Consider the following 27,999-nt stretch of genomic DNA (forward strand, 5'->3'; position numbering starts at 1 on the left):
AAAAAGACTATTCAGAGTTTTTGTTTTTTTTCTTGAGACAGAGTCTTGCTCTGTCGCCCAGGCTGGAGTGCAGTGGCGCAAACTCAGCTCACTGCAACCTCCACCTCCTAGGTTCAAGTGATTCTCCTGCCTCAGCCTCCCGAGCAGCTGGGATTACAGGTGCAGGCCACCACGCCCGGCTAATTTTTGTATTTTTTTTTTTTTTAGTAGAGACGGGGTTTCACCACGTTGGCCAGGCTGGTCTCGAACTCCTGACCTCAAGTGATCCGCCCACCTCGGCCTCCCAAAGTGCTGGGATTATAGGCATGAGCCACCGCGCCTGACCTCTATTTAGAGTTTCAATAAGATTTTTTTTAAAGGGTGGAAGGCCAACCGCAGGTGGCTCATGCCTGTAATCCCGGCACTTTGGGAGGCAGAGGTTGGGGGGCAGGGGGAATAGCTTGGGCTCAGGAGTTCCTAGATCAGCCTGGGCAACACTTCGAGATCCCCATCTCTACTAAAAACACAAAAATTAGCCAGGCGTGGTGGAGGGTGCCTATAGTTCCAGCTACTCAGGAGGCTGAGGTGGGAGGATCGGGAGATCGAGGCCACAGTGGGCGGTGACGGGCCCACTACACTCCAGCCTGGGACCAAAAAAAAAGGAGGGGGGGGAATGAAATGAGTTACGTAAATGAGATTATATGGAGATTACAGTACATTTGCCTTTGATAATATAAGACTTGTTCTTGAGCATAGTCTGGGGAAAAAGCAACAAAGTAAAAGATACAGGAAAAAGGATGAGTGATGGGGCAAAATCTCCAAAAAGGTAGGAGAAGAGTCAAAGCTTTAGGCGGAGGGAAGAGAAGTAAGGTGGGAGGGAGAGAGACGGAATTAGAAAAACATTTGTTTAGGACAGTGAAAAATACCTCACTAAGAAGGGACAGTTGCAGATGCAGATAGGTCTTCTGACTCGTAGCCTCAACAACTAAATTAGGTTTAAGCTTCTTTCAGGCAGTGTCCATGTTTGACCATATATGCACAACTCATTCAAAAACAAAACTAGTACAACGCTTTGTTGGGAACTCAAATAAATGAATAAAAGCGCAACAAGTCAGTGAGATGCTGACGGGGGTTAGATGCTTTTCCATTTCACCCATCACCGCTGCTGCTCGAGCAGGCCCAAAAACTCTCCCAGGGACCCTGCGATGGGGCGGGGGTGCGAGCCAGCAATCAAAAACTTCCAGCGCTGGGGGTATCACTTTCACACCCGCTGTCCCGGCGAACACCGCACACCCACGCCGCAAGGGGGCGGGCCCCACCTCGGTCTTTGCGGGAGGGCGGCTCTGCCTTCCCGAGCACTGCAAAATCGCAGCAGGGTGGAGGGTCCGCCTGCAAAGCAGAGCGCGCAGGCCCGGGTTGCGGGGGCGAGCCCCTCCGGGAACGCGCGACCCGAGACGCCGCTGCCCTGGACACCGACGCGCCGCCTCAACGCGCGCCTCCACCGCCAGCCCCGGCCCGCCCCGCCTCACCGGTACCCATAACCGCTACCCCTCCTCCCACCGGCCACCCCAAGGATCTCCTACGCTGCTCCGGGCAGCGAGAACCGCAACGCCCGCTCACCTGACCAGGCCGTAACCCGCCGCACTGCCACCCCGTCAGCCCCGCAGCGACTCACGCCGAGCCCGGCAGTGACTCACGCAAAGCCCCGCCTCCTGCGCTTCCCCACAAGCCCCCGCGGCCTCGCCCCGCCCCCTTTAGCCTGGGCTTGAGCGCGCGCAGAAGTCAGCTTCGTGACTTCCTTCTCAGGATGGAACCAGCTTGGTGGCTTGAGGGTATGTAAAAGCAATATCTGAGCCTTCTGCCTGCTTCCAATATGACTAAGCTTAAAAGGAGATAACCCAAAAACTGCAGGATCATCCTGATTTTCTGATCTCCAAAACAATAAAACCTTGAATATTTCCCTGGACTCCCTTAAACAGTTTAATCCCTAATATTTACCTTGCTAATCTCTGACCTTTGTGACATTAATTTGTCTGACCTTTGTGAGTATAATAACCATGTGAGAAAGTTACTGTTTTTCCACCATGAACAGACTACTGTCAACCGGTAATCCTGGTAATTTTAGGGGATTTTTTTTTCCCTTTAAGTACTGGTTGGCAAACTAGTCCTTCCGTCTAACTCCTCGCATCTTTTGCAAGTAAACCCCTTTTCTAAGTGAATCTATCTCTGAGTCTTTCTTTGACATGTGCCAGTGTTACAATCTGTCTTTAGATATGCTCTGGCTTACAGAGAAAAAAGAACGAAACTTTTAACACTTTTTGCTTCTGCTTCCCGTGTGAGGGAGTCTTCGTTGCAATGACAACTCTTAAACGAAAGCAAAACAAAAATAATTGCAGAAGTCCACAGAAGCAAACACAAACAAATGAAACTTTCCATTTAAAACAGGACTGTAACCTCAAATATCCTCAAAATCCAGATCGGTGGTTCTCAGTCTTGACTGAGCTTTGGAATCACTTAGGGAGTATATACATATACACGTGTGTGTGTGTGTGTGTTTGTGTCTGTGTGTGTGTGTGTGTGTGTGTGTGTGTGTGTGTGTGTGTGTATACTGATTTCTGTGTCCTATCCCAGAGATTCTGATGTAACTAGTCTTGAGTGAAGCCAATCAGAATTTTTTAAAGCATAGGATACGGCTGTGCATTTGAAGCTGGAAGCCACTAACCCAGGCGCTGATCAATGAAGAACTAGGCTGGAGTGCTGTCTTACAAGGTCATATCATTAGCACATCCTTCCCATTGCTTAATTATTGGTATCTTTATATTTTAAAATCATAGTAGTCAAATCATTAAGTGTACGTCAAAATATTTACTAATGAAATGATTCTTTGGTTGTATTAGGGAGATAGAGAACTGACTTTTAATAATTTTTTTATTAAGTATTTAAAAGCAAATATTGATTTACTGGTGTTTTTAACAAAAGCAACCACATTTGTTTTATTAATTCTGACAGAGTTGATTGAGAAGAGAGATAAGGGGGCTAGCTGGCTGCTCTAGTAAAACCTCATAGACCCTTAGGTGACCCTGCTTTTCTCTCTCTTTTTCTCTCTCAAACCATACAATAATCAGAAGTAGCTTAGTGAATATAGAGTCAAAGTGAGAAAAGTTAATCAAATGGTTTTGATGGTCATCATCACCTAATTCTGAGGCTCCTGCTGTCCCACAAAACCTGTGCCTGCAATGGCAGCCTTCTCTCCTGTGAGCTCAGACCTAGGCCACCTTAAGTTCTTTCCTAGATTCCTTGCAGACCTCCCCACTTCTATTGGCAGTTATCTTTAAATGGATTTCAACAAAATGTGTAAATAATGCCTTTCTTTTAAGTCTCTTTTATTCATTTACTCCAGTCATCTCAATTGAACTTATCATTAATACCTGAAGAGTTATTTTCAAAGAGACAAACCTCTTTATGTGTTTTATGTGTTGCAGTTGTAATGGTCAGTGGAAATAAACAGGAGTGTTTATTATTGCAACAATAAAATGCTGCAATTAATGATTGTAAATGCTATTAATTTTAATATCCAAAACAATTATTGGGCTCTTTCAAATAGTTAAAGAGTCTGACAGTTAATGTAAATCTTAAGAAAGGAAGTATTAGCTAAGTAACTTTAGGAAGAAAATGAACCTTGGGACTTCCTGTTATGGAGATACTATGTTAAGTTTGGTTGCATGTGACAGAAAGCCCAAAATAAGAGTGGCTTAAACATGAAAGATTATTTTTCTTTCATGTAAAACTGAATATAAGCAATCCAGGATTAGTGTGACAGTTTCGGTGTGAGACCCAGGCTCCTTCCTGGCTGCTCTGTGATCTTCAGCATATGGCTTTCATTCATGGTTCAAGCTGGCTGCTCAAGCTCCCACGATCTTGTCTGAAATCCAGTCGGCAGAAAAGGGCAAGAGTGGGAATAACGGTACCCCCTGCCCATTAAGAATACTTCCTTTTGCATGCCATTGGTGAGGACATAGACACACGCCTACTTCTGGTTGCAAGGGAGGTCAAGAGTCTGTACTCTTGACAGTCATTTGTGTACCTAAAAACTGAGACTTCAGTGAATAAGGAAGAAGAGGAGAGCAGATACTGAGGGGTAACCAGCAGCCTCTGTCAGGGGTCTTAATAAATATTCTTTAAAAAATAATGAATGAATAAGTGAGTAGATACTACTAGAAATCCAGGCTCACTACAACATGAGGAAAAGGGTTGAATTTTGCAATCCTGATTCTGCTACTGACTAAGAATGTGGCTTAATCTGATCCTCAGTTGTCTAGGTAAAATTAAAGTGGTGAAGATAAAAATACCCACCAGAGTGAGAAAATGAATATAAAAGGACTACTTAGCACAGCTTGGGACATGGTAACAGCTTAACAAATGTTAGTTCTTACCTTTCTCTCCTGCAAAGCTAAGGCCCAGACCCTGGAATACAGTACTCTCTCCTGCATTTCTGTCTTTCTGTCTCCTACTGGACTACCTGGAAGACCTCTGAAGAGGCCTATGAAGAGCACAAGTACTGGGCACCAGTAGGTGAAGGTTAAGGCTGATAGCAGGGATAGTAAATTGCCTCTCCCAGTATAAAATTAAATCTGTATAATAAGTGAGACAATAATTACTATAAGAAAGACTAGCATGTTATTTCACATTCCTTATCTCACAACAATGGTAATATTATCCCCATTTGACTGGTGAGGAAACAATCTGAATAATTAAGAAATTTGCTCATATGGCCAGTAAGCAACAGAGCCTGGCTAGGTACCTGGGCAACATGACTTCAGAGCCTGTACCTGTTACCCCTGTGCTCTACTGACTCACTGTCTTGCCTATTGACTGTGAACATCTCTGGGAAAGGGCAGGACAAGGCCCTGTTTCATCTATCTGCAGGCTATAAACTTGCCCGAGGTATCTCTTCATACCTGACCGTTTTCTAGCATTGTGGCTTGAGTAATCTGTTTACAGATAAGAAGTCTTTTTCTGTATCTCTTTAGCATCTCCTCTTCCCCCAGTGTGGTCAACCTCTGCAACCACAGAAGCTACATCCAGAAATGTCCTTATACTCCTGTGTATTTGATAAAGGGGACTGGTTATTGGGGATGGGGACCACCAATCTCCATTTACCACCCCCCCACCGGCCGCCTCACTATCTGTATGCAATGATCCTTCCACTCTTCATATTACAGAATTCTCTTCCCCTCTTGGCTAGAGAGACTTAGTGAGTCAACAGAGACTTCACCCAGATACCACATTCTTCAAGCCATTCTGAAAAGACTCTAGAGCAAAAGTATCACTGCCAGCCCTGCTCTAGGGAAAAGGCAGGGAGACAGACATTGGAGGGAGGCCATATACAAAGAAGACACTCATTTCAAGTTTTCTTCAATGACTTTAATTGGAAACTTGAACCTTCTAAACCATAGTTCACACCCGGCTCTGTGGTACAGCATTTAGTTCTCAGTGGGGTTGGGGGACAAATGCATAATTGAGGTTAAAATAGGGAACTACAGTCTCTCTGGTCTCGTAGAGTTATTCAAATTATGGCTGCTGGATAAGGCTTAAAATAATTATGTTAATGACACCAAGCTATGGGTTCCTTCTTCTTCTGATGCTGAATCATCCTCCTATGAGGAGAACTCTTTCAAAAAAAAATTGGGGATCAAAATACAAGTCTGTGGCTGCACTAAACATCCACAAGTGGGAAACTTCTTGTTGCAGATACTGAGCTGGACACAAAAACACTCAGGCCTGGAGAAGGCCACCCCACCCCCAGCCCATTCACTGCACCAACCTATTACCCTTCTCCATTCAGCATTGGAGTTCTCCCAGACTCTGTTCTGAGAGGATCTAACTCTGGAAAAAACCAAAGGCCCTTGCTTGATTACTGTGGCCTTACTTCTTTGAGGACCCCAACACAGGGCTGAGTGGTAGTTTACAGAGCTGTGTATAATAACAGCCATTATAGTAATCTTGAATTTCTATCAGCTGTTCTTCCTAAGAACAACTGAAAACACCTTCACAGTAAAAATATCAGGGTTTGCCCTCTCACCAACCCCAAAAAGAGGAAAGTGGGCAAACCCCTTCCCTTTACATTAAAGGGAAGCATGAGGCCTGGTGAGGTCAAAGGACTTCTTCCTAGTTCCCCCACACATCAGGGCAGAGAGCTATGGAGGGTTCCTACCTTCTCTGCTTGGACTCTGTTTCTTAGTCAACATTGCCAAAATTCTAGAGGATAAAGGTTTGACTGTTTATCCACATTTTTCTAATTTGTACATTTTATCTCTTTCCCATGTGGGCACTTTGGGATTTAGGAATGCTTCTCATTGCTTTGAGATTTGGTGATCCCTTCCAGTCCTCTCCCTCTTCTCTCTAGTCCAGAGAAGATAGCACTTCAGTCTCGCAAGAGCCCTCATGCCCCTTTCTGGCTCGAAGTTCTATTAGGTGGAAGACACTATGTAGGCTGTGGCGATGTACTTCTTGCCATTCCCATAGGTGGACTTGTCCCAGGTATATGTCCGGACAGCTAAGGGATATCCTCCCAGGCTTAACTGGCACCTGTGGGGAAAGAGCCTGAAATCAGAGGAGCTCCCCACTTCACGCTGCCTCTCCCTGGGCTGGAAGGATCAAGCCCAACTGAAGCAGAAGGGCTCCATTCTGCTTAAACAGCCTTAAAGACAGAGCTGGCACTGCTTTCTTCAGCAGCTGCCTCCAGCTCCCCATGTGCAAGGAGCCATTTCAAAATCTTTGCCTTATTTCTTGTCTTCTTAAAGAATGCTGTTCCTCATCTTTCCCAGAGCAATATTCCAAAATCCCAGATTCTGGAGGTGAAATCCTTAGAAATTAAACATTTGCTTAGGGTTTCAGAAGTGGAAGAACTCAACGTGTCCGAATGTTAGAGAACTTGAAGCCCAGTGGTTCCTAATGGTACTTTCTGGAGCTCTAGGTTCCCCTAAGTAGCCTCAGGGGACAAATAAAGAGGCTGAGAGCTCTAGGACAACTCCATTTCTATTTCATATATTAAGGTCCTGCGTAAGATTTCACTTTGGGGGAATGAGGGGAGATAATTTTGCTGCTAAGATGAAGTTTGGCAGCCACCAAACCAATCCAAAAACTTAATTGTTCAAGCAAGAGAACTGAGGCCCAAAGCACAGATTTGTCCAAGCCCTCTCAGCCTCTTTGTGGCAGAGTCCAGGTCTCTTGACTCTGTGATGGCTGAGGACAGCCTGCAGCCCCAGTCTGCCCCCAGGCCTGGCTGGCCCCATTCTTACACTTTGCCTGGCCTGGCGATGAAGCACAGGGAGTAGAGTGCAAACTCAAACTCAGGGCTGCTGCCGATGAAAGCAGAGCCCACTTCCTTATAGTAGCCGTCCCAGTTGAACTGCATTGCCAGCACATCGGGGTAAGAATCCCACTGTGGAGGGAAGGGCAGAAAAGGGGGTCTGGTGAGTGCCACAGAGTGGAGTAGAACGGGTGCCCAATGGCAACAGTCAGACAGTATTTGTTGAGGGTCCATTAGGGGCCTGTGTGAACCTTCCAGGGAGACTGGATTCTTTAAATAGAAGAGGCAGTCTGCCTTGCTAAGGTGTCTGAGCCCACCCGGACCCTCTGCCTGGAGCTGCCAGTGCACATCTACCAGAAAGGCCAAAATCACTATCCATAGGATCCACCTCTGGATATCAAGGATATCACTGTTCCCAGTGGCCCTCACACATGGAAGAGAAGGATCGTTTACTGCCCCCAAATTATTTCCTGGTACCGGGCAGCAAAGGTTTCTGTCTTATAAAGTGTATGAAGTTTAGCTCAAACTAGCCAGGCTGAAACTTTCAGCCACGTTCTAAGGAAACTGAGGCAGGGAGTAATTACATATCTTTGTTCTTCCCTCTGAGAATCCTCCCCAGGCCCCAGGCTCCCACCCCGATATGGTGCCTCCTGCCTCCTGTCCCCTGCAGTTCTAGAGCCTTCACTGTTTGGAAGGGAATTCCAGTGTCCTGGCTGGCTAAAGTGGCTGTCTAGCAGGTGAGGACGTGATAGTCACAATCACCTGGGGCTGCCCCCTGAGAGTCAGGCTGAGAGGCAAGTCGACAGTTTGGAACACAGAGTGAGAGCAGGATATCTGGGCTCTGACAAGGCTTTTCTAGTCCGTGTACTCACAGGCCCATCGTAGATGTGACTGTAATAGTCAACCAGACCCTCCTTCTCCTCCAGGTAGAAGCGGATCCAGTTATGGAAGCCAGTAACCTTGCCTTTTTTTACCTCACCTATAATAAAGAGTCCAAGATGGATAATCTGGGCTCCTTCCCCACCCTCCCCTCCAATCCCCTTTCTCCACCCCATGCCAAGGCTTCCCCCTTCTCCAGTCTCTGACTTCTAGCTGCTTGACCCCTTGCTGTGAGTCCCCAGAGTCTCTCACAGTCCTATCTCTCACCTCAGGAAGGCCCCCCTTCTGGCTCAAGCCCTTGGGAGAATCCTTCCTTCTGGTGATCCTGATGACCTCTCTCAGCCATTACTCCAGCAGCAAGCCAGGCTTGGTGGGAGTTTTATGGGGTAGAATAGGGGGGAACAGACCATGGCCCTCTTGGGAAGCAGCTGGCCAGGCCCTGGAAGCAAAGGACTGTTCAGAGGTAGGCAAACTTGCTCCCAGACACATGTCTTGTCCTAGATGTACCCCCTTGGGAGCCCCAGCATCTGGTCTTCTTTCCCCCTTAGGTACTCCAGAAAAGACTGTTTCTCAGAATGGCTCCTCAGACACCCCCCCGCCCCCCTGCCATATGGGCAGGGGAGAGTGCGTGGGTCCCTCCCTACTAGCTGGCTGGACTGCTGATTAATCCACACCCAGGGCTGCCCTGCTCCTGAGCAAAGCCATTCCTCTTCATCCCTCCAACTCTTTCTTTCCAAGAAAAGTGCTCCCACCTGAGAAGACATGTTCAAAGCCACTCGAGTCCCCCTCTTCATTGCCTCTTGAATAGAGCCCAAACCACATGTTCTTCAAGTCATCGACAAACTCTTGCTCTGAGCCATAGCGATCTGCAGAGGAACACAAAGGGTTTTGGAGAGGGGAGGCAGGGCCAGGTCCTGGGAGCGCTAAACAGAGACCTGAAGAGCTACTTGCTCCCACACGTCAAGAAACATGTGGGTTCAATCAACAAATGTGTTCGGCTGTTAATTCAATGATTATCTATGGGATGCCTATTTTGTGCCAAATCCAGATCTAAAGGCTGAGGATTCAGCTGGGAATAGCAAGGACACGGTCTCTATCTATATTACATTCCACTGGAGGAGTCAAATAATAAGTAAACAATAAGAAATATGATTTCAGATCAGTGCTATGAAGCAAAGTAGCCCGTAATGACGGGAAAGGGCTGGCACATAAGTTGGCGGGGGGGGGGGGTCTTCTAGAAAGGAACATCAGAAAGGCCTCTGTGAAAAGGTAGCACTGATCAGAGAGCTGAAGGATAAGGAACTTGCTACACAAAGATCTGTGGGGAAGATTCCTCCATGTAGAGGGAACTGCAAGAGCAAAGGCTCCAGGCAGACTTGAGTTTGCTACTCAAAGAACTAAAAGAAGTCAGTGAGGCTGGAGCAGGAGGGGAGAGTGGTAGGAGAGGAGGTTTGAGAAGCAGCCAAGGGTCAGATCCTTCAAGCCATGGCAAGAAGGTCAGGTCTCAGGCAAATAGAAATAAAACAAAAAATGTTTTAGATTTACTAATTGCTTTCTGTCCACCTAGTGCCTGCCATTTTAAGTGCTTTCAATGTAACACTGAATCCTCACGTTGAATCTTCATATAAGCTTGGTACTAATTATCCCCAACTTAGAAATGAAGAAACTGAGACGGACAAAGTATAAAACTCATGCAAGATCACAGTTAATGAAAGGTAGAGACAGCACTTGAGTCCACTCAGTCTAGCTCCAGAGACCAATCTCTTTAACAACTCTATAGCTTCTTGGTAGTGCAGAGCCACTGAAGGATTTTAAGCAGGGGAATTGTATGATAGGACCTTTTAAAAGATCACCCTGGCTGTGTATGTTAAAAAGGCAATGGGGTGGTATGAGTGGAAGCAGAGAGACCAGTCTTGAGGCTCATGCTTTGTCTACGTAAGAAGTTGATGGGGCTTAGATGGTGGTGTTAACTCCGGAGGAGGAGAGAGAAGCAGTAGGCCCAGGACATATTTTGAAGTGGGAGTGATGGACATTACATTACTGATGGAGGAGATGGGAGTAGGGAACTTTGAGGTAAAGAGAACAATTACATCTAACTACTAGGCTTTTGGCCTGAGCAACCGGATGGGTTATGCCCGCCATTTATGAAATGGGGAAGACCCAGAGAGGAGCAGGTATTTTTGATGGGAACCAAAAATTATTTCTACACTAGGTTCTGTGTGAATATCAGTTAGATAGCTAAGTGGAAGATGTTGAGAAGGCCCTTGGGAAAGTTCAGGGCTGGAGATTTCAATGAGGGAACCATCAAAGATTGACTGTTTACTGCCCACAATTTTATATGGTGAATACAAAAGAGATACCAGACATATTCCTTCCTTTCCAGGACTTAAAACACATTTGGAAAACAAGACTACATAAAATAACAGAGAATGGTTTCACACACTGAATAGTTCCCCTTACTGAGCAAGGACTGAGTGCCAGGCTTTCTACTGGGTGCTTTATAAGCAGTCATCCTCAAAAACCCCATTTCAAAGGGAAGTCCCAGAGAGGTCAAATAAATTGCCCAGGGTCAAGTCACTAGCAAGTGGCAGAGCCAAGATTTAAACCAAGTCTCTCTGGCCCAAGGCTATTGTGGACCACACTCCAAACTCTGCAGAGGTGCCGAAAGCCAGAGTGAGCTGGGGCAGGTGCAGCCTTCACAAATGCGGTGGGATATGAATTATCATAGAACTTTAAGGATAAGTGGGATTTGGACAAGGAGAGAGGTGAGGAGAGAGTTAGTAACGGGACAGCCTGGCCTTGGCATCGGAACCCTGAGTTCCAGCCCCAGCTCCGCTTCCAACTCATTTGTGGCCTCAGATAAGTCTAGCCTGTCTGGCCTCCGTTTCTCTCATTTGAAAAGCCCTTGCTCAGTCTAGACCTCCAAGATTCTCTTGTGTATTTACTACGAAGAGAACGCCAGGGGGCAGCACAGGATTGCAACTTCTTCATAGAGTCACTCTTGTGTCGCTGTCACTTTACCTAAAAACAGTGTCACCAACTCTTAAGGGAGGCAGCAGCTCTGAGCCAAGGCACTCTCAGGGACAACGAGGGAAGACCCGGACAGAGCCACCCCTGAGACAAAGCCCAGCTGCCTGGAGTTGGGAAAGGAATCTGCAGGACAGTAACAAACACAACTCCATGCCAAGAAGTCCTGCGGCCAAAATCTTTTTTGGTCTGACTCAAATGTGTCTCTACCTGGAGGCTTTCCAACCACAACTCTTCCCGATAGGACTTCCCGCTCTGAACCTTTGTTGATTCTCTGATGTTGTTTCCCCAGCCAAAAGGTGGACTCAGCCAACCCGATTCCTGGACTTTATTGCGGGAGGAGGGAGTAGAGTCAGCGACTCTACCTGTCTGAAACATGGTGCTGACTCCAGGATCGCGGAGGTGGCTGAGACGTGCTCTGGGTGGGGGTGGGATGTGAGGGGAGGCTCACACCTGGCAGAGAACCCTGAGACTGTAGCAGAGGGTGGGCGTGCATGAGGCAGTTAACATGAAGTCAAAGGTGGGGTGATATCCAAGCCAGCCAGCCAGAGGATGTGCCAGCTCCTGGTTGGGTTCCTAACCTCTCCTTGGCTTCCCCCTGGCCTCATCCCTCATCCCTCCCAGATGTACACTGACCTCCACAGAGTCCCCACCGCCTCCTCACCTGCCCTCCTAACCTTCCCCTCCCCCGCCCACCTGGCTTCGCTCAGACAGACTCATGCGCTCTGGGGCCTGGGGGTGCTCACTCACTCTGGTGATGGAGGAAGCTGTAGAGCTCCTTCATGACTGCTGTCTTCATGATCTCTCTGAGGAAGGCGTCCTGCTCGGCCAGCTCCTGGGCACTGAAGTGCTCCCCATGGCCTGTTGCCCGCTGGTAGTTGTTGAGGAGGTTGATGAAGGCTGCATAGGTGGGCTTGGAGAACAGCTTCTCATTGACATAAGTGAAGAGTCTGGGGGAGGCAGAGGGGAGCCCCACTGAGAGCCCCAAACACAGGGCAGCGACCCCTCCAGAGACTTCTAGACAGGCCAGGGGCAGACAGGCGAGGGCTGGGTTCAGGAGCCGAGGGGGCACTTCGGGTACTCTTGAAAGTCACACATCAGGTCACTTTTCTTCCACCTCATGTTTTGGAAGAGCTGTTCTATCCTCAGCCTGGCCAATCACAGAAACCCTCCCAACTGGATATCCACAGTCCCTCAAGATGGCTTTGTCTCTGGAGAACTATTTTTTTTCTGCTCTCCCTTTGATCGTGCCTGACTTGAGGATAAAAAGTCGAGACATCGAAAGAAGCAAGGATAGGGGCAAGATTTAGGGGGTAGAAAGAGGAATTGTGGGAACTCACGGCTTTGGGCAGCGATCCACTTGGTTTCTGGTCTCTGACGGGGAGATGCAGTTTTGGCTATTGAGAACGATGTCTTCCTTCTGGGCTTTGTTGGTGTCTGCCCTGTAGATCTTCTCAGAGATGCTCTGAATCTCCTCTTTTGTTATGGCATCACTGCTGTGGGAGACCTCTGGGAGGAATTGGAAGAGGGGTGGCCTCAGAGCCAGAGGGAAAGGGGGGCGGGCAGGAAATTATCTGTGTACCTCCCCTCCTGGGCACCTTCAAGAAGCCAGCAAGGAGGGAGGGGGGCCACAGTTGGACACCCTAGTGGTGGACAGGGGCCCAGAGCCTAAAGGACGTGTAAAATCACCACACGGCATTGCCCACAGAATGTCCCCCGCCCCTTCCCCCTAGAAGGGGTCTCACGCTTGAGCATGCATCAGAACCACCTGGAGGCCCTGGTAGTACAGGACAGTGAGTCCCATCCCTAGAGTTTCTAATTAAGTAGGCCCGGAGTGAAGCCCCAGAGTTTGTGTTTCTAACAAGTTCTCAGACATTGCTGAAGCTGCTGGTCCAGGGACCACATGTTGAGAACCTGCTCTAAAGTCCTTCTGTCTCTGCAGCTTAGCTAAGGGAGCAGAAGACTAACCGTGGTCACTACACAGGCTCTCAAAATCCTTGCAGCAGTTCCCAAACTCTTGGCAGCGGGCATTGCAGTGACATTGGTGGTGCTTGTCAAAGGCTTCGTAGCAGCGGCCCTGGCAGGAGGTGGGTGCCGAGTACAAGTCTGAGAAGAGAGGGGTGGTGTGTCCCGGGCTGACCTCTAGAGGTCGCTCTGAACGCCCCACAGGCTGTCGCTCCCTAGCCTGGCTGTCTTCACTCTGCCCAGTAAAGATCTCCAGGGAAGGAAAACAAACAAACCTAATTCGTGCACACCCTTCACAGTCAGGAAGTCCTTTCTGATGCCGAACTTTACTTTCTGGCCTGCTGTTTTTCTAATCTTCTCATTCTAAAAATAAAATCTCTTCCACTTCCCTCTCCAGGCCTCAGGCTCTCTTTCCTAGCTACCCTCCTCCCATGGCCCCCCAGGCTGGCTGAGCCCCCCCAGGCTTCTTCCTGCCCAGGTTCCCAGAATCCAACAAGCCTCTCTCATCTGGCTGAGGCCTGGGCCTGGTGCCACTGCCATGGCCGCCCCTGCTTGTCACCCTCATGTCCCTCCTGCTTTATCTTGAGGGCCCCCCTTTGGGGAGGCAGGCTCACTGCTGGCGAGGGCCTCTTCTGTCTCTTCCTCCAGCTGTGGCAATGGCTCTGACTCTTTGTGGTCCTCTGCAGGTAGATAGAAAAATAAAGTCACCAACAACCTGAGAATTCCCCTGCTGCTTGGTTTCTGGTTCTCTGTTTCCCCAGCCTCAGGGGACAAGCAAGGGCACTGGAAGCAAATTCTGAACAGGGGCTGGGGTCCAATGGACAGGCACCAAATAATGATGATGAAAACAGAAAATGGAAGATGTTTCCAATGGAAGACACATTATAGAAAACTTATAAAAAAGGAAAATAATTTCCCCAGGTGACACATCTGGATTGAAAACTCTGACTTCGGTGATGAAAACTCTGATTTAACAAAAGTTGACAGATGGATAGAGGCTTGATGCTGTCCTAATGACAAAGCCCTCACTTAGGAACATCCTGTACCTAGAAAAACTTCTCGTCAGAGCTCAGGGTAAACTCTCAGGGCCTCAAGGAATAAGAGCTGTTTCCTGAGATTCCAACTTCCCTTCTTTCTTTGCCCCACTTGGAAATGGCCACAAAGACTGTGTCTAGGGAAAAGGCATGTTCAGAAAAGCACATTCCTATTGCTGCCCCTTTCCCTTCACCTGCAAGCTGAGTGACTGTAGCTCAGCTCTGGGTGGAGAAGGGTGGATTTGAGGTTGGGGGTGATGCAGGGGGGAGAAATGTTCCTGGGGACTCTGAGTTCCTCTCTCATCACACAGTGGAATAATCCCCCCACCAGCACCCCCTCCACACACCCAACAAACAGTACTGTTACAAAGTGATTCAGAATCTACTAGTGAGTTTGCTGGAAAGTTATTACCATCAGAACTACCAGTTAGGTTATTCTTCAGTCAACAAACATCTTCTGATCACTTACTATGTGTCAGGTTGTGTTCTAAGTGCTGGCAATCCATGGAGTTCTGAATTCAGCCACATTTTATGCTAAACAGAATTTTGTGTGCTGAGCTGGAATCCTAACCATCATTTCCAATATGTTTTTCTATAGGAAAGGGGTTCTGAGTTGCAAATCAGAAACTTGAAGATGAAATGGCTACTACGCTGGGTATTGCCTTTATCTTGAATGCCAGCCTGATGGTCCAAGGTGAACAAGCCTTCCTGTGTTTTCTGAATGGTAAGAAAAAGTGGGGACACAAGGACAGCAGAAAAGGCATAGGCTCTGATTCCGGCTGATCTCGGCCTGGGTCTCCCTGCCTGGGGAAGGAGGTGTATGTGTGTGTGCTAATATATATGTGGTGCTAATGTATAATACATATGCTTATATGGTGATATGGTTTGGCTGTGTCCCCCCTCAAATCTCATCTTGAATGGTAGCTCACATAATTCCCATGTGTCACGGGAGGGACCTGGTGAGAGGTAACTGAATCATGGGGACGGGTTTTTCCTGTGCTGGTTCTCGTGATAGTGAATAAGTCTCACGATATCTTATGGTTTTATAAAGTGCAGTTCCCCCGCACTTTGCCTGCCACCATGTAAGATGTGTCTTTGCGCCTCCTTTGCCTTCCACCATGATTGTGCGGCCTCCCCAGCCATGTGGAACGGTGAGTCTATTAAACCTCTTTTTCTTTACAAATTACCCAGTCTCGGGTATTTCTTCATAGCAGTATGAAAATGGACTAATACATATGGTGTTTTTGTATAAATTGAAAAAAAGCTTCCATACGAGTGGAAGCAGCTCTGTGGGTGCTTGACTGGCTACCACCTTTGGGCAAATTCAGAAAACACACTTGTTTCTCTCAGCAGACACAACTCTTCACCAGTGCACAAAACCTGATGAGAAGGATACAGACTGGATTTTGGTCCAGCTTGCTGCTTAACTAGGTTCCCTTGCACAACGCACAACCTGTGCAATGATTATGCAGTGAAATTGATGGCCATTACCTAACGTGGCTTCAGTGACCATGTTTTCAAAACTGGGAGTCAGAGTGCATGGCTTGACATCAAGGCTTTGTGTCACAAAGCAGAAGATCATTAATCTGGGAGTTGACAACATTGGAAGCACCTAAACAAGTTGATTATTCATACAAGATTTTTTTCAAGTATTCATTTAAAACTATGCAGTTAAAGGTGGTGCATGTCCTGTTCTAATTGGTAGGCTGGAAATGATGGTATGGAGATGTTGCACCACGTGGTCCCTTCACTAGAGGAAGAGTGGTATGAATCGTGTCCGTCACTGTGACACCATGCAGTCTTCCTGGCAGTACACAAGTTGTGAGAGTTTGCTACCATTTTTACATTTTTGTGATTTAAAGTGTTGAATAACAATTAATAATGTCATACATACTAAAATATTATTTTTATCATTTTACCCTTTTTTAGAATTTAGTACTTAAACTTTCAAGATATTGTTAAAACTGATATTTCAGACAGAAATTCTAGGTAAATGACATCTACTGTATTTTAAGTTGGGGGCATCCTAGAAAACCTGAGAAAAGTGGTGGCCAAATTCCTGACCCTGCCTCTGTCCCTCAGTGCTTTCTGTCCAGACCCTTAGAGCCCCTGTGAGTCCTGAACGCTGCTCTGGCCTGCTGGACACCCAGGCCAGTGGCCCCTTAGACAGGCTGGACATGCCTTCGTCTCACAAGGAGGCTCACCAGTACACAGATGTTCATAGTCTTCACAGCAGTTCCCATGCCAGAGACACCGGCGGTCACACTGGCAGGCAGCGTCCCGGTTAAATTTCTCATTACATCGAGATGCACAGGATTCTATTTTTCCTATGGGCAGTAAAGGTCACCAACTCAGCTCTATGGAGACCCTGTTCTCCCCAGGGTGCCTCCTGCAGGAGGGTTCACAGACCAGGGCAGGAGTGTACCTGGCAGGGAAGGGCATTACTCTCTGCAAAGGAGAAGTACATCCACAGCCTCCCATGCACAACATAAGCCTCCTCCCCACCACCCAACACCCACCAAATATTTCAAGGCTCATCAAAGAGACCAGGATCACAAACCCAAATCCCTATTTGGGTTAGGCCCATAACATAAGCAAGTAAAGAAGCAGGGTATGAGGCAGTAGGAAGAAATGGAGACCGTGACAAACTTGAGAGCAATGCTCCATCTGAAATTTGCAGCTGATGCTCAGCTCTAGCCGATTGTGGCCATGTTGGGATGTGTGCTCAGTGTTGCCAGAGCCTTCCCTTTTTTTTTCAAGATAAATCTTCATTTTTATGTGAAATTTTCCAACCTTGTAACACTTTAAGCACACCAAAGAAAGAGGTCTGTGAACTGGGTGTAGCCCACAGGCCCCCTTCACCTGTCATGTCATGCTGCCCCAGGGATGTCCCCTGCCCCTGACCCTCCGCTGGCTCTTATTCCATCCCTGTTATGTTATTTGCTTCTTTGCTCTTGTCTCCCCTTCTGGTCTTCTCTGCACGCTCTTTCCCCCTGTGTCACATCTTTCTGTTCTTTCCCGTCTTTGGAGTACATTCAGATGAATTTATGCTCAGGGTGGGGAATGAGGCGGGTGCGGGTGAGAATTGGGCTCTGGCATAGCATTCTATTATGTAACCACAGACCACATCCCCCACTGCAGCCAAATGGTTTGCAGAAGCAAGCTTTTGGTCGCAAGGGACATAAGACAAGACATTTTGAAGGAACAGTGGAAACCCACTATCCACTCTGGGCTTTAAGGGTGATAACAGAGTCTTTGTTCGATTTGAGGTTCCTGAGGTTTGGATTTCACGAACGCTGGGTTCAGAGGTCATACTGTGGGTTACAGAGAATGTCAAGATCAGAGTCAGAGTTACCATCAGCATCAGAATTTGTATCAGTGAGGAAACTGAAACCTAATTTGGACCAGGGTTGGGGTTAGTTAGGTTAAGAACTACAGTTAGGATTTGGGCTTGAGTTAAATTAGTTGATAAATTAACAATTTTGTATTGATATTTGGGTAAGGAATAGGAATAGACTTAAGATGACATTCGGGGTTGAGGAATGTGTCAGGATGAGAAAAAGATGAATAATCCCTGTTTTGTTTGGGGGCTTGGTTCTGGTTATGATTCAATACAGGTGTAGTATCTTAATTTAAGCCTGGAGTGGGTTAGAGCTTAAATATTAGAGGTTGGGTTTGGTTACCAGTCCCTAGTATTGGATTCTGGGATTAAGGTTGATACTTTGTCTAATGAGGGACAGCATAGCAGAGAGGTCAAGAACCTAGACTCTGGCGCCAAACTGCTTGAGGCTGGAATTCTGGTTCTACTGCTTTCTAGCTATGTGATCTTGGGCAAGTTATTTGAACTTCTGTGCGTTGGTTTTCGTATCTGTAAAAGTGGGATGATAATGGAGCCTATCTCATAGAATATTTGTAAGAATTAAATGAGTTAATATATGTAAAGCACTTAGGACAGCAAGTGACACATAGTAGTACCATAGAAGTATTTGTTAGGTGAATAAACGGTGGCAATATTTCATGCCCATCTTCCAAGTGACAAGTGTTCAGACTGGCTGGAGCAGTCTTCCCTGTGTTGTGGCCCCGTCGACACACTTAATCTAGCTGACACTCTCCCAGGGTTTCAACAGGGCCATCCCTTGGGCTGGGTTGTCAGCACATCTGTGTTGCTGGTTTCCTGGCTGACTTCATCACTACAGGTCTGTATTCTTTACATCAGAGAGGCATTGGGTCAAGGTTAACCCGGGTCCTCAGACAACTTCACATTGTCAGGCCTCCAAGGTGGGCAGGAAGGCAGGTTTCCAGTCCCTAAAAGAGACCAGGCCCAAGGCCACTTGTTCCTTCAAGCCGGCAGGAACTCCTCTTGAATGTTAAATGATGCTCCCTTGGAGCCTGAATGCAAAGACCTTAAGGAGAAATTTTCAGCCCATCAGCTCCCTGCTCAGTCAGCCTGGCAGTACACCCAGAATCCAAAGGGAGAGAATTCAGGCAAATCAGGGCAATGTTTTTAATGGGCCAAATCAGCAGAGTCCAGGGAAAGAATTCACTTCATTCCAGCAGCTGGCACCAGTTGAGAAGGGTTGCAAGCGAGCAGTCAGCTGGACGTGCAGGAGAGCACCCCCGCCGGCCCAAGCTGAGTGGGCTTTTTCATCTCTGCTCAAGAACTTTGTCTCCAGCAAGAGCCCCATGCCAGCACTTTCTCACATTTCTCTGTGCACTTAGTCTGCTTCAAGGTGACCTTGGGATTTGACAGTGGAGTGCAGGGGTGGGAGGAACTTTTCCTCATAGGCACTTTGCTGTGACATTCTGGGGACACTCTGATGAGTAACTAGTCACCCTAACAACTCACTCCAGCATCCCCACACTGCACCATTAACACCAACACTCTGAGTAAGCCTTGCTCCCCAAGCCAGGTGCCTGAATCACTGCTGTAGTAACCTGTGCCTCTTGTTCCTCTGCCTCACCTCTCTGACTCTCTGCCTTTCTTCATCTGAGCCTTTCCTCTCTCGGGTTCAGATTCTCCCTCCATTCCCCCAAGAAATGCTCAATTTCTCTGCACTTTCTAAGACTTCAATATGCCAGAACAGCCACTCCCTATCCATACTGGCCATCAAGGAAGCTTGGTCCCAAGCCTGGGTGGACACAGTGTCCCTGTACACTGGTGCTCAGCCCCTCTGATGACTGGGACATCCTACACATCTGTACCGTTAGAAGGCCCCAGATGCTGTTTCCATGGAGACCTAGTCAACCAAGAAGCCTCACCCCTTGGACTAGCTTCCTGCCTCCATTCACAACCAAAAAAATCAACCAAGGTTCTCCACAGACATCCAGCTCATAAAGGAGGACCTGAGGCTGTCAGTGATTCCCCATGTGATTCATATTCTTGCCTCTCAGTTCTGAGATGTTGGGATAGTATCAACAAGTGCAGAGCCTCTTCCCTGCCACCTTAGGAAGCCTCATACACTTGACCTCACTTCCCCATCGATCCCACAGCCAAAGCAGATACTGCCCTCCGACCTAGCAGCAAGAGCTCCACCTGCACTTCTAAAGCCACTGCTACCTCTGCCCCCCAGGGACCAAATATCCAGAGTTGCTCTCCTTCCCTAAGGCTGGAATATGCCAAGCCCGCTGGCCACCCCTACACATTAAGCCCCCAAGTTCCACCTTCCTCCCAACCAACAGGGCTGAGGCTGGTGGCTCCCAGGCCCACCCTCATGCTCTCCCACTGCCTCTCCACCCACTAGGGCCCAGGCAGAGCTGGTTTCTGGTAAGATGCACTATCTCATCCATGGTTGGGAGGCACAACTTCCTCTTCCAGGGGTTTTCCACTTAGAAATCCCATAAGGGTCTCCTTTCCACAACCCAGTTGGAAATGACCCCAAGCGGAAGTTTCTCCCAAGAAAATTTATAGTCATAATCATAGCGAATTTCCAGTTCACTGAGATCTCACTTTGCACCAGGTGCTTCTCATACATTATTTCATTTAATCCTTTCCACAGTCCTACACAGGAGCAACCCAGTGGAAGGATTCTTTCTCCTGTGGGCAGAGGAGGATTCTCCCCACACTCCTCAGCTCAGCCCCTCCCTTGGCACTCCTTCCCACCCACCCACTAGCTACCAATTAACCCATCAGCACCAGCATTTTGCACAGTTACTAAACAGGAACATGGTCCTGTTCCTCTGCCAGTCCCATCCCCTGGACCTCTCATAACTGTGGGCCAGGTCCCTTCTGTATTCTTCAATTCTCCTAACACTGCAACAGAGATCCATTCCTCTGACCCCTGTACAGCCCCAGATAGGACGAGGCCCACCTCCTGGTCAAAGGTCCTTTCAGTTTCCTCCTAAGCCTGCCCACCTCCTAAGGCTCTACCCAAAGTAACATCACACCCTAAACAACCTCACCTGTCACCAGGCAGTGGAAGGAGTGACCAAGGGCAGCCAGGCCACTCAGACCCCATGGACACCAGCCCTAGCTTTATTCCTTACAGTGGCCCCAGACAACAAAATCTTGGGGAGATCAAAAGTCAGGCTGGACTAAGGGATATTTGGGGCTGATCCTCCAAGGTGTCAAGAAGGGAATTCCATGAAATCAGACCATCAGCCCTGCAACTCTCTCCACATAGTCCAGTCCATTCCGGGACCAACGCCTGCACCCTCAGACAAGGACAACCCAAAAGTGCTCTGCGGCTTTAGGACAGAGCTCACCCTCCCTTGTCCCACGGCCCTGCCCTCTACCAAGTTCTCCAACTCTCTGCTTCTTTAGGCAAGATCCCGCCCCACCAGCAATCCCATGCCCGCCAGATAGTGACTTACCAGCCCAGGCCAGGCCACACAGCACGGCCAATACCAGGGAGATGCAGGCCCTCATGGTGCCCAGTTGGAGGCCAAAAAGGGAGTGGCTGTTGGACTTTCACTAGAGTCAGATGAATGTCACAGCTCTCAGACGAGCCTTATTCCTCAAGCTGATCCTTTTAAAGACACCAGGACTTGTGGAGCTGGTGTCTCCAGATCCTTTCAGGAAGAAAAAGGGGAGGGAGGGACCCTAGATGGATAGGAGGTGGGGCCCTACAGCTGTTTGAAGCCTGAGGGAAGGTGACTAAGAAGGTAGGTAATGCCAGATGTTGAGAACAGGTAATGCTAGCTGTTTGCAGCTTAAAAAATAGGTCATGCAGGCAGGCACACCAAGATGGGTCCAGTTTGGAGGGTTCTTTGTCCAAATTAGGGACACCCATGGGCTGATCTTTGGGTGATCCCCACCAAACAGACACCTACTTCCAAGTCTCAGACCTGACTTTCCAAGGGGCCACAGGTTGGATTCATCTTCAAATTCCTGGAGCTTAGCATGACACTGGCACACAGTAAGGTGATTGGTCCAAATTTGACAAACAGTAAGTGCCCAAGCAAGGGTTGGGGTCATTGGACAGAGAGATAGAGGATGTGTCGGTCAGAACCAGTGCTATTCTTATGACCACCAAGCCCAGCATAGCTAAATCAGCCACATGTCGAGCGCATGGCTAAATCACTCTAAAATATTATGCAAATGACTCTTACTGAGTCAGCCTCTGGGGTTTAAACGTTTCAGATTCCTTATGAGGCAGGGGAGGGGCAAGAGGCCTCTTAAAGGCAGCCGAAGGCCCACTCTTCTTCCCCTGGGAGCCCAGGGTTTCACTCCCTTCACCCCAACTTACACTCCTCTCCTCAGGAACTCCTCCCCAGTGAGGTTCTTTTGTTTCCAAGTCCAAAAGAAGGGGAGCAGCTCCCCGTGACTGTCCAGTTTTCCCCGATAATAAAGGTAAAATCTGCCAAGTATGATGCCCTTGCCAGAAAGAGCACTGCATGGGGATTCTCAACCCTCTCAGGAAAGAAAACTATCATATAAAAAGGCAAAATTGGTGAACAGTGGAGGCCACTCTATCAGTGATTTTTTTCTGGAGGTTGGGAGTGGAGCACGTCTTCATCCAGTGTGCTTTAACAGGAGAAGTTTCTTCCTCTCGCTGGTCTTCAGCTTTCTCATCTGAAATGATGGGGTTGGATCTGACAATCCCTTCCAGGTTCTCAGACTTTAATCTCGAGTTTTCCTGCCCATGCGCCAGGTTGAACAGTTGCTGGTGGGTTAAAGAGAATCCCCCAGCCTGTTGCTGTGTAGAGAGGAGTCCAAACATAGGGACTCAGGGGTAGAGAGAAGGACAAGCCTAGGGCAAGCAAACTTTGCAAGGGGCTCACACAGGAAGTGCAATGTATGTATATATTTTGAGATGGAATCTCTCTCTCTGTCGCCCAGGCTGGAGTGCAGCAGTGTGATCTCGGCTCACTGCAACCTCCATCTCCCCAGCTCAAGCAATTCTCATGCCTCAGCCTCCCGAGTAGCTGGGATTATAGGCATGCACCACCACACCTGGCTAATTTTTGTATTTTTAGTAGAGACCATGTTGGCCAACCTGATCTCAAACTCTTGACCTCAGGTGATCTGCCCACCTTGGCCTCCCAAAGTGCTGGGATTACAGGTGTGAGCCACTGCATCCAGCCCGGAAGCACAACTAAAGAGTGAGCCTAGCCCTTCTCTCCCAGAAGGGAGCTGGTTAGAATGAGTAAGAGCAGAAATGGCTGCTTCATTTGCATAGATTTCATTTACACAATCCAAAAGCAGGCTGAAGAGTCACTGCCCCTCAGAATCCTCATCCTCCCTGGGTTGGCACCACATAAACGTGTCTCTGACTCCTGTTGTTTAGGGGACAAAGGAGGGTGTCACTGGCTGGCCTGGGAAGCAATGATGCCTCAGAATTTGGGAATGAATGGTCTGTCCCTTCCAAGTGTCCAGCTGGGTGGACCCTAGCTGAAGCCAAAGCTGTCAGAGTGGAGTACAGCCTGGCTAGGTTCTCCTAGTGTCCAGCTGAACTGGCCATGGGATGGTGTTTTGAGGGCAGGAGCTCTCCCCCCATTAATGGAATTTTAGGTCAGGAGCAAGGATTGGAGCTGGGGAAGACAGTTAAGGATGACTCCATAGAGCCAGATGGTTCATCTGAGTACCCAAGTGTTTAAAACTGCATCCTTCAATAAGAATAACAGCCTTAACAACCACCAGCAACATTGACTGAGCACTTACCACGTGTGTTATCATATGTGTTATCTCATTGATTCTCACTACAACCTTAATAGGTACTATTGCTGTCCTCATTTTACAGATGAAGAAACTGAGGCACAGAAAGGTTAGGAGACGTGCCCAGAAGCACACAATCATTAAGTTATGCAGCTGTGCCTCAACCCAGATCCATCTGACCAGGGGTCATTCTCATAAGCACCGTTGCTCCATTGCCCCACAACATCACACTTTGAACGACCACTTAATCATGTCTGGTTACTATACAAAGCAGTCTAGATTTAAATTCACTGGAATTAAAGGGACCTCAACTGCCATCTAGTTCCACTTCTCATAGGATGTCACAACTCCCTAAACAACCCTAAGTGCTTGTCCTGCCTCTCCTTCATTGCCTCTGGTGCTGAGGGTTGAGGGGTGGGGAATTGGGATATGCCCTCCCACGGCTGCTCATACGCCCTCTTCGCAGATCGGATTCCCAAACCCCAGATTTTATAACCGAAGACATGCTGACAAAGGCAGAAAAAATCCATTAAGCCAATAAATGAAAATATATCAATACATATTCATGCAAAGATGCCTCATAAACTTAGATGTCCATGTATGTGTGTATACACACACACACACACACACACACACACACACAAAAAGAGAGAGAGAGAGAGAGAGAGAGAGAGAGAGATACATTAAGATAGATTTCAGGCAGCTTTCTCTTCCCTGCTAGCCTGTTGTGGACCAAGAACTCTGCGGCTCCTCTTTCTGAGTACCCCCCGCCATTAGGTACTCACATGGGCTTTCCATCCTTGCAGACTTCCCAAGAAGCCACAGTGGGACCAGCCAGCAAGTTGGGAATTGTGGTAGGCTGGGTCCTGGAGAGCTGGGGTAGGGAGAGAGTGGAGGGAGATGCATGGTGGATGGTGTCTCAATGATGAGAATAGCGACAGAGATGGTGCAGTTGTGTCCTCTGTGGAGGTCTGGAGAGTGGGGAAGAGGGTGAGGCTGCTTGGGCAAGGATTTGGGAGGCACTCAGCTGTGAGAGACATAGAGGGTGGGAATTCCATCAGCCAAATATTTATCGAGTGCTCACTACACATCAGGGGCTATGCTGTTATTGGACTGGCAGGGTTCAGGCTAGGCTGGAAAACTCTTCCTGGAACTGATTGGTTTCTGGTGGGACAGAAGCCAGATAAGCCTCAGCATTAGGGCATTGTTTGAAGTAGGCCTCATTCATCTCTGGGCTACCACAGGTGTCTGGGGTCTGTCAGGATCAACAGGCCTTGAGAGAGACTGACCCAGAGGACTACTAAAAGGGACACCTGCCCAGGCCAGCCTATTCTACCATCCTCGTTCTCCTGCAAAACCAAGGCCACGTCATTTCAGCAGAGGACCTGCGTGTGGAAGGACCCTGCAGCTGGCCCATCACAGGAGAGGCCCAGACTCACCTCCCAAGGGGACCCTGGCACATGAAGATGCTGGTTCTCCTGGGAGTGCTGCCCTGGCCCACAGGATAGAAGCGCAGGATGGTCACCCATGTCTGCTCTTATTGAATGTGTCTTAGAAGCGGCTCCATGTGTGATTTCTTTCCCACATTGGTTAGTATGGTGTATACCACGTTTGTGTTCCCAGGCTTTTGTTTAAGTTTGTGGGCAGCCCTGACATCAGCATCACACTCAATGCCTGGGCTGAGCATATCCGTCAGACCTCCCAACTAGGCCCACTCATCACATAGTCCCATGCTGCACTTCTAGTTCTGCCAGCCACACCCCATGCTGGTCCTCAGCCTGGAACACCCTCCCCCACCCTCCCTGCTCAGCTGTCCAGCTCCTACTCATCCTCCGGCCCCAGGGCAAATTCACTCTTCCACAAAGCCTGACCTCTCTTCAGCCCACAGGATCTCTCCTGCCTAGGAGCTTGGTTGTGCATATTTGTCCTGTGTGCCTTTGACACAGCACAGTCATCTCTGACTGCCAACATCTGTTGCTGCCAACATGGTATCAGTTAACCCCTGCACTGCCATTTAACTTTTCCTCTGAAGTTCTTTGAGAAGGGGACCCTGCCTCATGGGCCCTTTGTATTGCCATCCAATGTGTGTTAGAATCTAAACAGTTAGATAATTATCAACCTGTGCCTGAGACCTGCAATGAATCAATATGTAAATGAATCAGGGCACTGGTCAGTCTTCCAGCCCCACTTGATATTAAAGACTCAGTGAAGATGGTTAGCAAAGCAGAGGACAGCAAATGGGTCTCCGGCAGCTGTGAAGCACCAGAGTTTATCCAAAGGGGGGACGTGGGGTCTAGAGACTCATCTCAAAGTTGCATTTTCATAACAAATACACTGGGTTTTTTTTTTTTTTAGCTATATTGTGTATTTGTTGGGGCCTAATGGAAATTTAGGAGGACCTAAACCCCCAAGCCACCCTTGGCACCACCCCTACAAGGGGCAGCCACCACAGGGACTGGACAGTTCCAGCAGTTTCTGAATCCACAGTGTCACAGAGATCTCAGCTGTATCCTGCTTTTTTAGGATCCCAAAGGAACCATCTGCCTACACTCTTTGCCAGCTGTGCTAATGTTTGTTTTACACTGCCCAGTAATGATTATAAAATTACTATTGCATGTCCTCAAACTCCACTGGCTTTAAAGAGGGTCTAGAGGCACAATGAGAACAAGGAGATGTGGGCAAGACAGGCAGACAGCGATAAGGAGGTTCAGAGAGACAGCGAGGGAGTGAGTAAGGGCGAGATCAAGAGAGAGACAGGCCCGAGGCCAACCCGCAGCTGACCGCTGGCGTGAGGAACATGGGCTGCCTCTCGCCCCAGGTATGTTGGCACAGCTGGGCTGTTCTGGCCTCAAAGATGATGACAGGACAACAGGACTGGCAGGAGCGGTTCCTGACCCATGATTTGAAATCTACAATCTGTCAAAATTACCATAATTATTGTGCTAAGGTAGTTGGGTTATGGGAAATTCCCCCTTTCTCATTCATTCCTTCATTCACCTGACAAATAGCACTTGAATGCCACTGTGTGCCAGACACTGTGATAAGCAAAGTGGATAAAGGGTGAGCAGCTCAGCAGCTGGAGAGAAAGAAAGACATAAATAAAGAGCGTCTACAGCCAGATCTGGGCAGCAGGACATGAGGCTCAGACTGTTGATTCTAAAGCCAAGCTGCCTGGGTTTGAATCCCAGCTCTGCCACCCACCAGCTGTACAATCCTGGGCAAGTTCCCTGACCCCTCTGTGCCTCAATTTCCCCCGTAGATCTAAAATAGAACAAGTAAGAGTACCTTAGAGGGCTATGGTGAGGATTGAATAAGTTAATCCTTGCAGAGGTTTTAGAACAGTGCCTAATAAATAAGGCCAGATGTTTGTTGTTAAAAAAAAAAATAGGGCCACGAAGGGCGTAATTTAGATAGGATGGTTAGGAAAAGCCTGAAAAATGAATGTTAACAATGTTCTGTGGCTGGGCGCGGTGGCTTACGCCTGTAATCCCAGCACTTTGGGAGGCCGAGGCAGGCAGATCACCTGAGGTCAGGAGTTCAAGACCCGCCTGGCCAACATGGTGAAAACCCATCTCTACTAAAAATACAAAAAGTAGCTGGGCGTGGTGATGCACATCTGTAATCCCAGCTACTTGGGAGGCTAAGACAGGAGAATCGCTGGAACCAGGGAGGTGGAGATTGCAGTAAGCCAAGATCTCACCACAGCACTCCAGCCTGGGCAACAGAACAGGACTCCGTCTCCAAGAAATAAAAATAAAAAAAATACAAAGAAAAGTGTTCTGGGCTGGGCGCAGTGGCTCATGCCTGTAATCCCAGCACTTTGGGAGGCCAAGGCAGGCAGATCACGAGGTCAGGAGATTGAGACCATCCTGGCTAACATGGTGAAACTCCATCTACTAAAAATACAAAAAACTAGCTGGGCGTGGTGGCAGGCGCCTGTAGACCCAGCTACTCAGGAGACTGAGGCAGGAGAATGGCATGAACCCGGGAGGTGGAGCTTTCAGTGAGCTGAGATCGCGCCACTGCACTCCGGCCTGGGCGACAGAGCAAGACTCCGTCTCAAAAAAAAAAAAAAAAAGTTCTGAAAATGACAATAGTGAGAAGGTGGCAGCTCCTCTAATCTACAGTCTCTATAATGTAATATTTATTTTATAATTCCAAAGATAATATTTTCATTTAAAAAACGTGCACCCTCGGTATTTTCAAGTCTTGGGGATGGCCCTTTGATGAGTCGCACTGTCTAACTCACCTGGTTTGGTGCCAAAAGGAACCACCTGTTTTCTGGGGCTGTGGCCTGCAGCCTTAGGAACAGTGCTTTGCTCTGGGGGAAGCTAAAAGTTGCAATGGGGCTAAGCTAAGAGCAGCAACTCCATGGCTCAGCCTCCTGAGCCTTGTGCTCTATTTGATGAGATAATCCACAGCTGCCTGGTGCAAAGTCAAGAACCGGAGAAGAGAAACAGAGATTGCTGACCTTCTCCGTGGGCCACCAGAGTCCAGCCTGCATGTGCAGGCTCTCCCTCCAGCACACAGGTTGCTCCTGCAGGGCTCAGCCCCAGCAACGCTGAGAGGGTGAAACTGGCCACCTACCTCTCCCTCTGATTCCCACCCTGGATGCCCTGTGTCCCAGGACCCCTGTAACATTCTCCCACCCTAAGTAATCATCTCTGGACCTTGCCACCTGATCATGCCATTAAATTCCCCTAATGCCA

General features: G+C 48.3%; 2 protein-coding genes and 1 long non-coding RNA gene across 7 annotated transcripts in view, besides 12 other annotated features; 1 reads left to right on the forward strand and 2 right to left on the reverse strand.

Moving 5' to 3' along the window:
- The window catches only part of RPAP3 (RNA polymerase II associated protein 3), a 44,782-nt gene extending 43,104 nt beyond the window's left edge, over positions 1–1,678 (reverse strand). For all 3 annotated transcript variants that reach the window (NM_001146076.2, NM_001146075.2, NM_024604.3), the window contains exon 1: positions 1,600–1,678. The gene's annotated coding sequence lies outside the window, so the exon portion shown is untranslated. The remainder of the gene's footprint in view (positions 1–1,599) is intronic.
- Positions 892–1,393: an enhancer, noted in NCBI's record as "H3K27ac hESC enhancer chr12:48099027-48099528 (GRCh37/hg19 assembly coordinates)". NCBI's record gives its function as "activates a minimal SCP1, AML or CMV promoter by ChIP-STARR-seq in naive H9 embryonic stem cells {active_cell/tissue: H9 hESC(naive)}" and the evidence as "EXISTENCE:reporter gene assay evidence [ECO:0000049][PMID:30033119]".
- Positions 892–1,989: a biological region, named in NCBI's record as "H3K27ac hESC enhancers GRCh37_chr12:48099027-48099528 and GRCh37_chr12:48099529-48100028".
- Positions 1,140–1,229: a silencer, noted in NCBI's record as "silent region_4391". NCBI's record gives its function as "represses an Ori minimal core promoter by ATAC-STARR-seq in GM12878 lymphoblastoid cells {active_cell/tissue: GM12878}" and the evidence as "EXISTENCE:reporter gene assay evidence [ECO:0000049][PMID:35858748]".
- Positions 1,260–1,549: a silencer, noted in NCBI's record as "silent region_4392". NCBI's record gives its function as "represses an Ori minimal core promoter by ATAC-STARR-seq in GM12878 lymphoblastoid cells {active_cell/tissue: GM12878}" and the evidence as "EXISTENCE:reporter gene assay evidence [ECO:0000049][PMID:35858748]".
- Positions 1,394–1,893: an enhancer, noted in NCBI's record as "H3K27ac hESC enhancer chr12:48099529-48100028 (GRCh37/hg19 assembly coordinates)". NCBI's record gives its function as "activates a minimal SCP1, AML or CMV promoter by ChIP-STARR-seq in naive H9 embryonic stem cells {active_cell/tissue: H9 hESC(naive)}" and the evidence as "EXISTENCE:reporter gene assay evidence [ECO:0000049][PMID:30033119]".
- Positions 1,614–1,908: an enhancer, noted in NCBI's record as "tiled region #11797; HepG2 Activating DNase unmatched - State 1:Tss, and K562 Activating DNase matched - State 1:Tss". NCBI's record gives its function as "activates a minimal TATA promoter and a strong SV40 promoter by Sharpr-MPRA in HepG2 and K562 cells {active_cell/tissue: HepG2 | K562}" and the evidence as "EXISTENCE:reporter gene assay evidence [ECO:0000049][PMID:27701403]".
- Positions 1,620–1,699: a silencer, noted in NCBI's record as "silent region_4393". NCBI's record gives its function as "represses an Ori minimal core promoter by ATAC-STARR-seq in GM12878 lymphoblastoid cells {active_cell/tissue: GM12878}" and the evidence as "EXISTENCE:reporter gene assay evidence [ECO:0000049][PMID:35858748]".
- On the forward strand, positions 1,736–27,999 carry RPAP3-DT (RPAP3 divergent transcript). Its single transcript, NR_183480.1, has 4 exons — positions 1,736–1,811; positions 14,795–14,920; positions 15,248–15,347; positions 24,535–27,999. It is a non-coding gene; the product is annotated as an RPAP3 divergent transcript (long non-coding RNA).
- Positions 1,840–1,989: an enhancer, noted in NCBI's record as "active region_6257". NCBI's record gives its function as "activates an Ori minimal core promoter by ATAC-STARR-seq in GM12878 lymphoblastoid cells {active_cell/tissue: GM12878}" and the evidence as "EXISTENCE:reporter gene assay evidence [ECO:0000049][PMID:35858748]".
- On the reverse strand, positions 5,382–21,138 carry ENDOU (endonuclease, poly(U) specific). Of its 3 annotated transcripts, NM_001172439.2 has the most exons (10): positions 21,007–21,138; positions 16,401–16,523; positions 13,777–13,842; positions 13,166–13,303; positions 12,538–12,706; positions 11,948–12,147; positions 8,923–9,036; positions 8,164–8,270; positions 7,281–7,423; positions 5,382–6,567 (listed from the first exon to the last, which is right to left on the reverse strand). In NM_001172439.2, exons 1-10 carry the CDS (start codon positions 21,059–21,061, stop codon positions 6,450–6,452), a joined length of 1,233 nt encoding a protein of 410 aa, NP_001165910.1. In that variant the 5' UTR covers positions 21,062–21,138; the 3' UTR covers positions 5,382–6,449. The 3 variants fall into 3 exon arrangements, with proteins under 3 accessions (NP_001165910.1, NP_006016.1, NP_001165911.1); NM_006025.4 differs by lacking the exon at positions 16,401–16,523; NM_001172440.2 differs by lacking the exons at positions 13,777–13,842; positions 16,401–16,523.
- Positions 13,384–13,503: an enhancer, noted in NCBI's record as "active region_6258". NCBI's record gives its function as "activates an Ori minimal core promoter by ATAC-STARR-seq in GM12878 lymphoblastoid cells {active_cell/tissue: GM12878}" and the evidence as "EXISTENCE:reporter gene assay evidence [ECO:0000049][PMID:35858748]".
- Positions 13,844–13,893: an enhancer, noted in NCBI's record as "active region_6259". NCBI's record gives its function as "activates an Ori minimal core promoter by ATAC-STARR-seq in GM12878 lymphoblastoid cells {active_cell/tissue: GM12878}" and the evidence as "EXISTENCE:reporter gene assay evidence [ECO:0000049][PMID:35858748]".
- Positions 21,653–21,772: a silencer, noted in NCBI's record as "silent region_4394". NCBI's record gives its function as "represses an Ori minimal core promoter by ATAC-STARR-seq in GM12878 lymphoblastoid cells {active_cell/tissue: GM12878}" and the evidence as "EXISTENCE:reporter gene assay evidence [ECO:0000049][PMID:35858748]".
- Positions 22,738–22,797: a silencer, noted in NCBI's record as "silent region_4395". NCBI's record gives its function as "represses an Ori minimal core promoter by ATAC-STARR-seq in GM12878 lymphoblastoid cells {active_cell/tissue: GM12878}" and the evidence as "EXISTENCE:reporter gene assay evidence [ECO:0000049][PMID:35858748]".

Source organism: Homo sapiens, chromosome 12 (genome assembly GCF_000001405.40).
Source record: "Homo sapiens chromosome 12, GRCh38.p14 Primary Assembly".
Lineage (NCBI taxonomy): Eukaryota > Metazoa > Chordata > Mammalia > Primates > Hominidae > Homo > Homo sapiens.

What these genes read in the sequence shown, in the direction of transcription:
- ENDOU (NM_001172439.2), bottom strand. Translation starts at nt 21,061, where the DNA reads ATGAGGGCCTGCATCTCCCTGGTATTGGCCGTGCTGTGTGGCCTGGCC. An exon ending in AGAAGAGGCCCTCGCCAGCA is followed by an intron (nt 13,304 to 13,776) that starts GTGAGCCTGCCT and finishes CTCTCTTCTCAG; the next exon opens with ACTTGTACTCGGCACCCACC. An exon ending in CTTTGAACATGTCTTCTCAG is followed by an intron (nt 8,271 to 8,922) that starts GTGGGAGCACTT and finishes TCTTTATTATAG; the next exon opens with GTGAGGTAAAAAAAGGCAAG.